Source organism: Homo sapiens, chromosome 1, assembly GCF_000001405.40.
Source record: "Homo sapiens chromosome 1, GRCh38.p14 Primary Assembly".
NCBI classification, from domain to species: Eukaryota; Metazoa; Chordata; class Mammalia; order Primates; family Hominidae; genus Homo; species Homo sapiens.
Window position 1 is genome coordinate 183924681 of NC_000001.11, and position 14461 is coordinate 183939141.

Here is a 14461-nt window from a genome sequence, read left to right on the forward strand (position 1 = left end):
ACGCCTGTAATCCCAGCACTTTGAGAGGCCGAGGCAGGTAGATCATCTGACGTCAGGAGTTCAAGACCAGCCTGGCCAACCTGGTGAAACCCGCCTCTACTAAAAATACAAAAAAATACAAAAAAAAAAAAAAAAATTAGCCGGGGGTGGTGGCACACGCCTGTAATCCCAGCTACTTGGGGGGCTGAGACAGGAGAATCACTTGACCCTGGGAGGCAGAGGTTGCAGTGAGCTGACATTGTGCCACTGCACTGCAGCCTGGGCAACAAGAGCAAAACTCCATCTCAAAAAATATAATAATAATAAATAAATAACTTAAATAAATAAAATAAAACTGAGTCAAAATAACTTTGCTTTGATGATTTCATATTACACTTGGAACAATCCTTGTTCAAAAATTACAGATGTCTAGTTGGGAATCATTGAAATTGAAAATAGTTTAAATATTAAAAGAAGGGGATATTTGCTGCAATATTTGCTGCTCCTTCTGCACTTGGAGAAGAGACCTATCCTGACAGTCACTGTCTGTGAAGTGACAAGGTACAGAGGAGTTTTCTACCAGCCTGTTTCCTTCTCTCAACAAATACAATACCCAAATTCATATTAGCAGACAGATACCCAGGAAGGGGAGCATCACACACTGGGGCCTGTCAGGGGGTTGGGGAAAAGGGGAGGGAGAGCATTAGGACAAATATCTAATGCATGCAGGACTTAAAACCTAGATGACAGATTGATAGGTGCAGCACATGTATACCTATGTAACAAACCTGAACATTCTGCACATGTATCCCAGAACTTAAAGTAAAATACTATAAAATAAAGATATGCACGTTCAGCACATGTATCCCAAAACTTAAAGTAAAATTTTTTTAAAAAAATATACATACTTTCCTACATGGGAAATAAAATACTCGTTTGACGGGATTACTTCAAAAAATATTTCAATATTTCAAGTAGAATTCTGGAGTGCTGTAGATTTTCTGTTTTTTCTATGTCATTGGATTCTCTTAGTCTTTGAGAAAATCTGCATACTGGGGTGGAAAATGGACTGCAGGAGAAACGAAACCCGAGTTCAAATCCCAGTTCTGCTATTCACTAGCTGCCATCTTGGGAATTTTCTTTAACTTTTCTTGGCCTCTGTTTCCTACTGTACTTTTTTTCTAGTTTTAACATTTTCTATTGGAACATTTAATTCATGGAGCGAATTTCTAAAATCTCATTTGTACTAATTTTTTAAATTGGGATTGAGAAGCTGGGGCCAATTTTTGGGGTAGTGATGGTGATCACTGTCTGGTTCAGGTCACATTCCAGAGATGAAGGGCCGTAGTCCCGTTCTTGTGTCTGGGCAAGGTTTACAGCTGCCGTTGTCAGTACTGAGCTGACCTCCACAAGCTGACCATCTTATCTTTCCTTATCTTTTTCAGAACTTGTGATTCCAGACTCAGCAAATGTCTTTTATGCCATGAACAGCCAAGTGAACTTTGACTTCATTTTGCGCAAAAAGAACTCCATGGAAGAACAAGTGAAACTGCGTAGCCGGACCAGCTTGACGTTGCCCAGGACAGCTAAACGGGGCTGCTGGAGTAACAGACACAGCAAAATCACCCTCTGAAGGGAGGGACCAGTGGCCCCTTGTTTGCCAAAGGCAGAGTGGGGCTGAGAAACAGGCTGCGGTGATTGCAATTACCATCCGGTGTTCGAGGATCATTGGTGAAGTCAGCAGATATTTATTGAGTTCCTGTGGTGTGCAAAGCATTATGATAGGCACCGTGGGGAAACTGGAAATGAATTTGACATGAAAAGGATGAACGATTCACTGATTCTCTTTGACTCATTTGAGACTAAAATGCAGAATTACCAACATTTAAAACATATATATGCACATGTATTTGGTATGCATGTGTATCTATATAAAAATATATAAGAGGGACTTTATGGGATAGTATGGACTATGGAAAAACAAATTTGCACAATGGCCTGGGAAGTTGAGGTCACTTTTTACAGGGAAATAGAAGAAACTGAGAACCTAGTCTCGTATATTCTGAGTAAATGGAATCAGTCCTGGGAATAGAGAGTGTCCTTTGTGCCAGTATTACAAGAAGCCCAAACTTTATTTTTATAAAGGGAGAGGATGACTTTCTCAATCAAGTGCCACCAGATAAAAACAACTGCAGAGGCTGGAACTGCCACAGGCTGTATGAAAGGCCACTTTGGAAAGGGTTTGGATGAGCTGGTGGCCTTCAACCTCTGCCTGCATCTGCCACTTTCTGCTACCCTAGGGAGGCCAGGAGGAGCTTCGGAGGACCATCGCCCCACTGGTCTAGCCATCATGACACCTCTGGAGGTGTCAAGCTCCTGAAACAAGCTCATTTCAGTTTCTGGCAACCCCGTGTATTTCCGTTTTCCCCCTAAAGAACATATCATAATCATTGCACAAATAACCATGTTCTTTGGTAATGAAGCCAGAAAAGAAAGCGCAAAAGAATGGTGACTCATTTGGACTCTTATCTGTCTTGGAATGTCACTGCTTCATTGCCTTCTCTGATTGCCTTTTGCATGTAAAACTATGTGTCTGGAGTCTTTTGCCATCTGGATCTTAGTACCTCTTTATTATGTGCAATTTATTCCTCAGGTGTGGAAATTTCTACTGCAATTGACTACGTTTGATTATTTTGAGCTTGTGAAAGATTTCTGAACAGTGATTGTCCCGTTAATAGCCCCTCAGAAGATGTTCCCTGCTGATAACAGCATCCTATTTTACTTACTTTTATAGCATTACTGTGCCTAGTCGTGGGGAAAGAGATGGGGCTGTATAGATTATCTGAATCATTTGTCTAAGAGGTACATTCTTCCAGATGGAATCAATAACTTTTTTTTTTCCAGGTTCCCGTGCTTGCTATCACAGTATCATTGTTAAGTGACACTTTTGTCTCTCATAACACCATCACACTCTTCCTTCCAAGTCTGAGCTGTGCTGGGGTTTGAACTAAAAGCCATATGTGGAATATTGACATGTGTAAGAAGCACTTTCAGAATGTTGTCCTTTTTAAGAAATGATTCTCAAAATACCAGTTTTTATTCCAAAAATTTAGAGAACAAACCCGGAATATGAAGTGCAGATTGTAACATGGAGCTATTTTTTTTTCTTAATCCCATAATACAGCTCCTAAAAGTTGTGTGGGATTTGCGTTGCATAAATAGCCATGTGAATTCCACAAGAAGCACCAGGGAAAGTTTAGAGATTTGCGGCAATGGACCGAAGAACGGGCCAGGAAGTCCTCCAATTTCCTTTGGTCTTTCCAGGAGATTGGACTACACATTGTAAAGACTGACTGGGTTTCAACTAGTCAAAAAGCACTTTCTTCTGTTTTCAATCCCTGTTCGATTTGTGCTTCTGTGCTTGTAGGAGAGATGGCCAGGGTGGCAGCCCTCATGCAGGTTGAAGTATATGTAGCCTCAGCCTGATATTCTTGGTGCGAAGGTAAAAAAAAAAAAATAAATAAAACCATTGGCCTGGTTGAGGGCGTGACCACCAAGACATATATGTTGTGCCCGTGTTCATCCTGTGTATTTATACTGTATATGTAGAGTCTAGATTTATATACTGCAATGTAAAATATATATATATTTACCTTTTTTAAAGACAATGGAAATTCCAAGTAGCTAAAACTTAGCTTCATTTATTTAATGCCACTTTAAATGTCTTAAATTTGTTTCCTGGTGGACAGCCGGGTAATGCTTTTAGCTGCTCGCATGCTTGTCTTTCTGCATCTCCATCATCTGTTTACCTTTTGGTTAAACTAATAAACTAGTTTGGGACTTGGCTGGCATGTGCTGCCAGACCCAAAGGGATTGTATCTGGATTATTAACCAGGTGGGTTTTGGGTTCCAGTGTGTCAGTAAGCTTTTGGGAAGCCCGCTGAATTGGTTGGAGGAGCACAGGGAAAGCCAGTGGCAGAGTTAGGTGGGATCCTCCCCACTGGCAAGTGTCACAAGCCTTTGGGGGAAAGAATGACTTCCTTAGGAGACTGCAGTCAGAGATGATGCCGTTGCTAGATTGCTGTTCTTAGGGATGGAGTCTCACTCTGTCGCCCAGACTGGAGTGCAGTGGTGCGATCTCAGCTCACTGCAATCTCCGCTGCACCAGTTCAAGCAATTCTGCCTCAGTCTCCTGAGTAGCTGGTATTACGGGCGTGAGCCACCACACCCAGCTGATTTTTGTATTTTTAGTAGAGGTGGGGTTTCACCATGTTGGTCATGCTGGTCTTGAGCTCCTGACCTCAGATGATCTGCCCACCTCAGCGTCCCAAAGTGCTGGGATTACAGGCATGAACCACCGCACCCGGCATGGGGACACTTAATAATCCAACTTAGAGTGAGGGTCCAAGTTAGCATTTTGTCACCTTTCTGAGAGCCTTTCCCCGCATTTTGTGATGGATACCACCTGCATAATTCTTGAAACCGCCCATGGTGCCTTGGAAGCCAGGGGGACCTCCATGGAGGGAGGAAAGGCATTCCCGAAAGAATTACACTTGAAATCCTTTTAAACTGATCCATGCAGTTTCCCCAAAGGCATTACGTCTGAGGCCAGCTTCACTGGACAGATGCACAGTATTGTCATTTATCATACTGTTAAAAAGTTCCCAGGATTATTTTCTAGTAGATTTCTAAATGGATCCAAATTATCAAATGTTCTGTGCCCTTGTGGAATTTTTAGAGGAAGCCAAGTAGAAATTTTAATAATAGGAAATTGATAATATGGGGTAGGGCAGAAAAAAAAGGGAATTTTGTCTTTGGTACTTGTTTTTTCAAGATCATTCTAAAAGCCTGTTTCCCTTGTTTTGCCTTTTTCTAGAAACTGGGCCTGGGGACAGTCTGCCTGAAGGAATAATGTCTTAAACTTGTCTTCTTTGGAACGTTTGTAAATTCTCCCTGCAGCGCAGGATCATTAGGAGGCATACAATACTGCTTTACGTGTCCTGATTTCAGGGGGACTGAGGAGGTTCCTGACTCAAACCTCTTTTTCTTCAGATGCCTACATTTCCACTAGGCAAAGTTATTTCCATTGCATTTTGCATTGCTTTTCCCCCTAGACATCTCTCTTAAAATTAAATACCTTTGGAAGGGATGTGTTAGGCTAGGCTAGGCTGGACCGAAGTAACAAACCAAGAAATTTCAACAGCTTAAGACCGAGGTTTATTTTTTCTTTCACGGGACAGTGTAATGCAAGCCAGGAAACTCCTTAGTAGCTTTTCTCTAACAGCAGCTCACAGATCCAGGCAGCTTCCATCTTGCAACTTCGCCATCTCGGTGTTTCCCTTCCAGTCACAGTGATGATAAAGAGAGTAAAGAGAACTCACAAACTGTTCCCAACTGCCTTAGACCAAAGCGACACCTGTCACTTCTGTTCACAGCCCATCAACCAGTCCCCGGGCCCGATGTGAGTACAGGGGAGGTGGGAAATGCAGGAGAAACCTGGAGGAGTTGATGAACACGACCACCTCTGCCACAGAGGGGTAATGCCTTCTCCTAGGGTGCACGGGTTTGTTCACCGTTGGCAGTCATCAGAAAGTGTTTGGAAGAGATGGCAGTGAGGACTTGAGAGGAGGCTGCACAGAACAGAGGAAGAGTTGAAGAAAGAGAGATGCTGAAAGGAGAAAATACTAGAAAGAACAATTTAATTTTGTCTAGAACTAGCCTTGATCTTATTTTTTAATTTAATTTTATTTTTTGGACAGGGTCTCACTCTGTCACCCAGGCTGGAGTGGCGCAACCTCAGCTCACTGCAGACTCCGCTTCCTGGGCTCAAGCGATTCTCCAACCTCAGCCTCATGAGTAGCTGGGACTACATCCGCAAGCCACCAATGCCCTGCTAATTTTTTCTTTTTCTTTTTTTTTTTTTTTTTTTTTGTATTTTTTATACAGATAGGGTCTTGCCATGATTCCCAGGCTGGTCTCAAACTCCTGAGCTCAAAGCGATCTGCCTGCCTTGGCCTCCCAAAGTGCTGGGATTACAGGCATGAGCCACCACGCCCAGCCAATCTAATTTATTTTTAATTTTTAACATACAGTCACTCACCAACAATTTATTTTCTTCTGATGTGGTTCCTACTTTGATGACACTAGGAGCTACTTTACAGATGTAGTTGTAAGTCAGGTTAAAAAAAGAAACCTAGGAAATGTAAAGTATTTACACAAAACCCAACAGATCAAATAGGAGCCAGGCAAATTTAATTATTTTAGACTCACAATTTGGCAACCATTATTGGGTGTGGTTTCTCAACATCTCTACCCAGAAACCTTTGTGGAAGCAAGTTTCTTACTTAAAATTTCAAGGAATCCAATGTATGTAATGTTTTCTTAAGAGTTTGAAGGCACCTTACAAATCATGTAGTCAGTGGCCTCGTATTATAGATATGAGGCTGAGACACAGAACAGTTAAGTTGCCCAAGTTTTAGGGACAGAGCTCTGGATCATCAAACCCCACTCTGAGCATATCACACTGGGCCAGGCACTGAATGGAGGAGGCTCTCCTGACAGACACTTCCACAGCCTCACGGAACTGGAGAGAATCCCTGGGATCTGTGGGCTCCATCCCCAGCCTTCCAGTCACATGAATTCCCACAAACTATCTCGGTCAGCTGGGCACCTGGTTGGTTCTTTGAAGTGTCTGAGGAACATTCTACTGAGGGTCAGAGCACTGCCACCTACTATCCTGAGCATCATTTCCATCCCACAGATGAGGAAATGGCCAAAAAGATGATTATTGTGAGTTAGCACCCCAGCTGGATTGGAATCCATTTCTGATCTGTAGTCTCGGGTGTTCCCCGGGGGTGCCTGCAGCGGGAGAAACTCCTAGGAGAGGCATCAACTGACAGGAGTTAACAAAGGAGGAGCAGATGGGACTGGGGCTTGAGTGGCGTTCAGGAGAGCCAGTTTTAAGACCACCTGGATCAGCCTCCCTGTAAGCCAGTTATCAGTATCCAAGTGCTTTAACACAGGCTTCTCAGAAGAAATCATTTTTATTCCTACCATTATTTCATACCAAAGCATCATTATGTGCTACAGTTCCAATTTCTTACACAAGAATGAAAAGGGTTACCAATGCAGCAAGTTAAAAAAAAAAAAAAAGAAGAAGAAGACTGAATGATTTAAGCTGTTTCTGAATTGTTCCTGCCATAAAAAAAAAAAAAAAAAATCAAGGCACCAGTTTTGAAATGGGAGAAGCATTCTAAATGAGACTGTTAGCTTGCCCTTTGACATCGATTTCTGATCCTCATTTATTCAGTATCTAACATCCAAGTCTGCAGAAATATGTTATCTGAGAGTTTGCAGTATGACCAGCTGAATAATCAGTATATGAGGTTTCACAGGGGAGACAGACATGGGTTAGAAGTGCCAGCTTTATGTATCAGGCTGTGTGTGTGTGTGGTGAGACAGAGTGCAAGAGTGAGAGATTAAAACATTAAATTTTACTGAGAAAACAAGAAATGAGACACATTATCCCCCAGCAGCTTGGAAGTGGATGCAGTTTGGTGAGATCTGACTGCCTCGGTCTGACTCCCAGGCCACTTACTACCTTAGGCAAGTTGCTTCCCTTAGCTCTTTGCCTTATCTGAAAGATAGAGATTAATGAATAGTTCCTACTTCTTGAGGTTCATGCTGTATTAAACTACACAGCACACGTAGGGAAAGTGCGGTTCACTTTGGTGCATGATACAAGAGTTAGTTGCTGTTATTCCTGGGAAGCTTCTGGCCTAAGGGAAGTCATGTCTTCAAAGAAGCCCTCCAACCTCCTCCCGGGAGGAGCCAAATGGTCCAGACGTGAAACTCTTAGAGGTGGGGCTTCCACGTGTGGAACGGCACCCTGCGAAAAGCTAAGCCTGCTTGCTGCTCTGGGGAGAGACTGACTCACGGAGCTGGAGGGCGTCCAGGGCTCCTGCAGCTTGTTCCACGGCTGGGGTCCAAAAAGGCTCACAGAGACGGGGATGTGGGCCCGGCGCAGCCTCCCTGGCCAGCCTGCAGGCTTTGCAGTGGGCACTCTCGCTGGACGGGCTGTGACAGGAGAGGCTGGCTGATGTCAAGCAGCCCTGGGCCGGAGTGTCCCTCTCAGGGCCTGAGAGATCGGCCACCACACAGAGCTGGCAGCGATTCCCATGAGTCCCCACCTCCTTGGGTGGATTTTTCTCACCAGAAACTCTGCTCCCTGCTCCTGGGTACCCCCTTCTGTGTCTGTCCACAGTCCCTGTGTCTTTCCTACAGGAAGGGGTTCTCGACTCTGGTTCCAGAGGCCCTGTCCAGGGACAATGGAGATGCTTGATTGTGAGTTATTGCTCTTCCCCAAGCATTGGGGGCACTGGACATTTCACTTGTTCCTGTGCAAGCGGTTCAACTCAACACCAACTCAATCTCTCCCATAGTTGCAGACTTAAAAGGATAAAACTCTAAGGACAAGGCTGTCACCACTTCCATTTGAAGCCTCCCTCCTACCACACTATTTTCCCCATTGGTTCCCTCTCCTCTTTCTTGGCCTGTGCACTGGCATCACTGTCTCCAGCGATGGGCTTGCATTAGTCTCTTCTCCCCACTCCTTGCACTTCTCTCCCAGACTGTGCTCTGAGCACCAGGACTTTGCTCCGTGTGTGGTGCGCTAGAAGCTGCCTCTTTCCTCTCCCCTCGGATTCTCAACAGGCTTGCACCACTCTGTCCCTTGCACTCAACTCTGCTCATGGTTTCCTCCCCTGAGCTAGGCCTGAGCAACAATATCATCCCCTTCAAGTCTTCACAATTTATGCTAGCAATTTTTAAAAGCAGTTAAAGCCCTTCAGGCCACACCATCAAAATGCCTGGACAACTGAACTCCTGTCTGGGGGTCTGTTCCAAACTTCTCATTTCCTTTTGGGAGAAGAAACTGTCGCTGATTAATTTCCAAGCATCTAAGAACAGAGAGAGAGAGAGAGCTGCCCACTCCACTTTGAAAATCAAATTCCCCCACTAGTAAGAGCCCAGACATCCACCCAGCCACCCGTGGAATAGGAAACCCCCATCAAAGCCTTGCCAGGTCCATGGGGGCAGAGCTAGTGCTCTGTGGGCCCTAGGATTGCTCAGACATGGTAAGTTTACTAAAGCACCTGTTCCAGAGAAGCCAGGCTGGAGAATTACAGGGACGGGCATAAAAACAAACTCCATAAATTAAAAATAAAGAGAAGGCAATCCTCAGAGACGATTCTTCATTCTTTCCACTCTTTTTGAGGGCAGATGGGAGGATGGATGGCTTTGGATTGGAAGCAACACAGCTGGTGTCACAGAGGCTACTGAACAAAGATCAGCTCACATATTAGCACATCCATGGGTGGAAGCAAAATACTAGGGCATTTCAGTAATTCACAGAGCAGAAAGGAAGCCACTCTTCTGCCCAGCAACAAAGTTTAATGGAGCCATTCCACCACTTACCTTGGAACCCCATTCAGTGTCTGACAATTCTGTCAATGAATTCTTCCTGAAAGCTCACCTAAACTCCTCTTGCTCTGTCCCTGGGATAAGAGGGAGCACCATTTTTCACGTAATCTTTTGTAATATAATGTACTAAAATCTACCATCATTACTTCTCTCTTCTCCAAGCAGGTACAAAAGGACATTGTCCACACTTTGGTTCTTGTCTCAGCTGCCCTACACTGACTTAGGGCCGCGGGCTCACAGGGAAGCCCCTCATATGCCCCTCCTCTCCTGCTGGCCTTCCTCCCTCAGCTGCATTTAATTGAAGGACAGCCGGTTCCCCTGAAATAATAAACATCACCACAAAACATCATGTGGGCGTGACATTTCCAAAGCTGTCTACTCTTAGTTTTCAGAACGTGTCACCCCTTACATGCTATTTTCTTCTCATATAGCCAGCCTCATTTTAACTTTACTTTGTCATTATTTAACTCCTTAGTGAATTAACTTCTGTCAGGGAGATCACTTCTGGATCATTTCTTTCCTCTGTTTAGTTGGCAAGAATGTCTCAAAAGCACGTTATAGAAAGCCTCCTGGGAAGACACATCTTTATTTTATAGTTACTAGCGGGAGGGATTTGCTCCAATCATAAGGGAAAAACCATAAGATTCCCAAATTTGTAGCTGAGTGGGAATATTTCTTGTTTTGGACATCAACATTTTACTGGAAGCCTCTGTATTATCTGTCAAGATGGTAACCAAACTTAGAATTCTCCCAGAAATGCTGGGCTCTGTGCTTATGATGAGACAGCCCTGAGAAGGAGACAGCCCTGAGAGGGAGGCAGCCAACTTGCCTTGCCAGCATGATTGTGTCTCAGTCTTGTTTGTTATCAACCCCAACACATGCCTAACTCTTCTGCCCTACTGAGTTCCCATGAATCCCACTTTGGCCCTTTCATAGTCCTGTCAGGCAATGCCTGGACAGCATCTCCACCCACTGTGCCCAGCCCTCCTCCCTCTTCTGAACTCCAATTCATCCTCCAAAACCCAACCCAAATGTCACCTTCTCAGCAGAGCTGCCCTGACAGTCCTCCTCTGCCCATTTTGTTCATCTCTGAAATAAAACCATCCTGTTTGGCAGCCACCTGCTTTATGTTGCTCCTCCATTGGACTGCGGGCCCCACACAGCAGTAGGGACCTTACCTACTTCTCTGAGCATCTCAGTGCCCAGCACAAAGCCTGCAGCAAGGCAGTGTTCACAGCCTGGTTTTTGAGATTAGGGGTAAGCTTGATCTAAAAATTCAAGCAGTCACTGAGATCAACAAGGATTTTCTTTTTGTTGCTGCTGTTATTTTTCCCCAGGAAAAAGCTCTTTGGCCTTGGACTGGTATCACAGTATCTCAGTATCTTTTGATGAACGGATAGGCTGACCTGTAGCACAAAATGCAAGATGGACACCTCCACTCCCTCCCAGTGGGGGCTCTCTTCCATCTTTCTGTACCTTGGAATCCTTTTCAGCTTACATAACAGTACCCATCAGTTTAAAACAACCCTCACTGCACAGTAAGGGCAGCAACCACCCTCCCCTCATTTGCCATGGGGATCACACAGCAGTGATGGTTCCCCCTGACTCTGACATCCTTGGTCAAGGGCAGACCTGGTAATCTCTGCAGCGTTGGCCATTGATCAGTGCCTGCGGAAGCAATTGACAATCATATCTTTGAGCTAAGTTTTTTTTTAATTTTTCACAAAGAGCTCCAGAAGGCAAATAGTTTATCACTTCCCCACTCTGAAATAGCACGCAAGACAGATGATGCAGGGGAACGGGTGTCCACTCTTTCTTGTTCTCAGAGCTCCTGCAGCAGGCCTGAATGAACCGCAAGCGGGGCCCATGCAGCGTGTCCTCTGCAAAGTGCAGGTGTTCAGTCCACACACAGCAGCACCAGCACTGCTGATGTCACGGTTGTCTGTCCAGAAGATCCCACGTTAGATCCCAAGAGAAATCCAGACAGGGTTTAGCCTCCAGAGGCAGAGAGCGGGTGCCAGGCCCAGATGCAAAGGCCTCTATACTGACGCCCTCACATGACACTGCAAAGGTCAAATGTCAAAGGTCAAATGTCTTGGCTTAGGACTATAAGGGAGAGATAGGACAAATAATGAGGTCAAGGAACCTCTGGATTGCTGAAGAGATGACTTTAAAAAAAAAGTCACATCTGCGGCTCACAGTGTTCACCAGAAAAGAACACTGCTTGGGATTCTAGACCTGAGCAGGGAGAAACAAACCGGGCTAAAGGAGACAGAACTTTCTTCACAGTAGAACAGTCCTAGTCTAAAATGCTAGAATTTAAGTCCAAAGTCTTTTAAGAATGAGAGTTCTTAAATCTGTCAGACCAGCTGACAGGGGAACAGGAAAAAAAAAATTCTCTATTAAACAAAACACCACAAAAATCAACCCAAACTTCCTTCAACCCCAGCACCCCAGCCACCTCCCACCCCATTAAAAAAGTCATTAAAGTCATGCACACATGCACACACTCAAATATGAAAACAAAAACCAGATACCCAAGGAAATCTTAGGAATCACCTAAGGAATTTTCACTCGCTCCCCAGATGCTCTTTCTGTTTTTCTGGGGGTGGGTGGGAAAGGAAGTCACACTGACAGCTAAGTCTAAGCGGCACAATTTAGAGTTGGGTGAGTTCCCTTTCCTCCAGCGGCCTAGCTTGCTGGTCAGTGTAGAAGGGTACCCACAGTGAGTCGGGAAGGAAGGCCGAGGCTGGCGTCTGGTGGAAGGCAAGCTGCCTCTTGTCCTAAAGTGGGGACCCGCCCCTCACCTGGGGAGATGAGGCTGCCTTGACTACCTATTTGGTGATGAGACAGCTTGGTGATCACTTTCTCTAGACTCTGAGCCATGCTGTTCAACCTTAATGTGGCAATCAGTATCACATGGGCAGTGAACTGAAGAATTAGGTGTCTGGCTTAAAGTGTATCTTACACTCGTACACTAAGCTTGTGTATGTAGCACCACCCGCCTGTGGACTCTGCTCTGAAGGGCCCTCCCCATGAGTTTAAGTGTGAAGCTCAGGGTTTGGGGTGTGCACGGCCCCCCATATGGCTGCATGGTGCATGGACAGTGATGAGGAACGGTGCTGGTATGGGATGCCTGGGAGGGTTTTTCTGGAGACAAAAATTTACAGATTGAGGGCATGAGAACATAAACTTGAGGGAAACCACCATGATCTATACTAGGATGACAGATTGTGGAGTGGGAAGAAATCGTGTAGTCCAACTCTGCATTTTACATAAAATCAATCTGTGAAGAAAGCAGAAAGGACTCTTAGGGGATATCTTTTGAGAAAGGGTGTCCGCCTGGGATTCTAAGAGCTTCCCTGGTTGCTGGCCTAAATCAGGTGACCAGCCCTTTGTTTCTGACCAGGTTTCTCACCTGAGATAGAGAATCATTTGTTTCCAAATAGTTCAAATCCCCCCATCCACAGGCCTCCCCACAAGAGCCTGGCTGGGAAATTCAGGAGAATCAGATTGCCGAACCAATGTGTCCACACCCACCACTCCCCCGGGTGCCGTGGAAGTCTGCAACATCTGTTTCTCTGCCTTATCCTAAAGACAATATCTTCGCCCATTTTGTAAAATAAATAATTCAAAATATAATGAAAAAACTCTGGCAAGGATAGTTGCTGGCCTGAAAATGTGCTCTGTCTCTTAGCAGTGACTCACAGAACTCACACCTGCGGTGGGTTCCCAGGCTAAGGGGTGGAGCGGAGAGCGTGAAGCTCTGTAGCAGCGCGCAAACCCGGGACAGGGCAGGATGCACAGCCAGTCCTCACCCTTTATATATTACATTTATCTTTATAAATAGAGCATCCTGACTCGAGTGGCCATAATAAAAAAGCCAAACATTGAGTTTTTTCCCTCAAATACCTACACAAACTGTCAAATATCTACTAAATTATATCCACATGGCAAACTGGTCACCTCTATATGAGAACTCCAACTGCCATGATGGTCACAGGCCAAGTCTCAGTCGGACCCAAATACCCACCCCTACTGGATAACAGGGACTAAGATTTTTTTTTTTTAAAAAATCTACTTTTCAATAAGACTTGTGACAGAATCCTTTAAATAAAAAGCCAAATAAATATGATTTTAAGTGATTCCTGTCCCCCAAAAGTTGCACACACAAGTTTTCAATGTCATATAAAACGGACAAACTAGACCAATAAGTGTGGTCTAGTTGGCCTGGCTGCCTTGACTACATATTTGCTGATGTGACAGCTCGGTGATCACTTTCTCTTGAACAAGACTCTGAGCCATGTTGTTCAACCTTAATGTGGGAATCAGTATCACATGAGTAGTGAACTGAAGAATTAGGTGTCTGGATTACAGTTTATCTTAACAGTTTCCAAAAAACCTGTCTTTCAGCCGTCTTGGGAAATTTGGGTTGAATTTCCTTATTTCCTTCCATGGTCAAAAATATGTTAATTTCGATCTATCACACTAGATCACTTTGGTTAGATGACTGTGACCACTAAGAACAAAACAAAACAGAAAACTGGAGCAAACAGATGAATAGCCCTTTAGAAAAACCAGAGGATGTTGAACTGATGTGGGCCACACTCCCAGGGAGCCTTCATAGCTCATCCCTTGAAGGCACAGTGTCCAGGGAGGTTGGCGGTGGCAGGGCCTCTGTGTTCTTGGCATTGCTGTAGATGCGGCTTTGCTTCCGGGACTTCCAGGCATGTGTCCTATCCCAGTCGGTGGCCACTGTCTCATTGTCCCAGATGGTGGAGGTCTCCGTGTCACTCAGGTACCCCGGCTGGCCTGTGTAGTGCGTAGGGTAGATGAGCAAGGGTTCTGCAGAGAAGGCTTTCAGGTCCCTGGATTCATAATACTCCTTGTACTCGGCTCTGAAAACAAGAAGGTGGCCGGACACATGAGGGGGCGGAAAGGAGACTTACGGAACAGGGACAAAGAGTGAAGGAGGCCTCCTGGTTACCTCATGAGTTCATTT

At 44.9% G+C, this 14461-nt stretch overlaps 2 protein-coding genes across 15 annotated transcripts in view; one reads left to right on the forward strand and one right to left on the reverse strand.

The window, feature by feature from the left end:
- The window catches only part of RGL1 (ral guanine nucleotide dissociation stimulator like 1), a 292424-nt gene extending 288572 nt beyond the window's left edge, over positions 1–3852 (forward strand). For all 12 annotated transcript variants that reach the window (XM_011509339.4, XM_047415682.1, NM_001297669.3 and 9 more), the window contains one exon: positions 1425–3852. In XM_011509339.4, coding sequence (XP_011507641.1) covers positions 1425–1612 — 188 coding nt within the window. In that variant the 3' untranslated portion in view covers positions 1613–3852. The remainder of the gene's footprint in view (positions 1–1424) is intronic.
- A 1129-nt stretch (positions 3853–4981) lies between these two features.
- The window catches only part of COLGALT2 (collagen beta(1-O)galactosyltransferase 2), a 108067-nt gene continuing 98587 nt past the window's right edge, over positions 4982–14461 (reverse strand). For 2 of the 3 annotated variants that reach the window (NM_001303421.2, NM_015101.4), the window contains exon 12: positions 11154–14357. In NM_001303421.2, the coding sequence (NP_001290350.1) occupies positions 14081–14357 (277 nt within the window). In that variant the 3' untranslated portion in view covers positions 11154–14080. Of the gene's footprint in view, positions 5610–11153; positions 14358–14461 lie in introns of those variants that run through there. The other variant, NM_001303420.2, reaches the window with a different exon arrangement.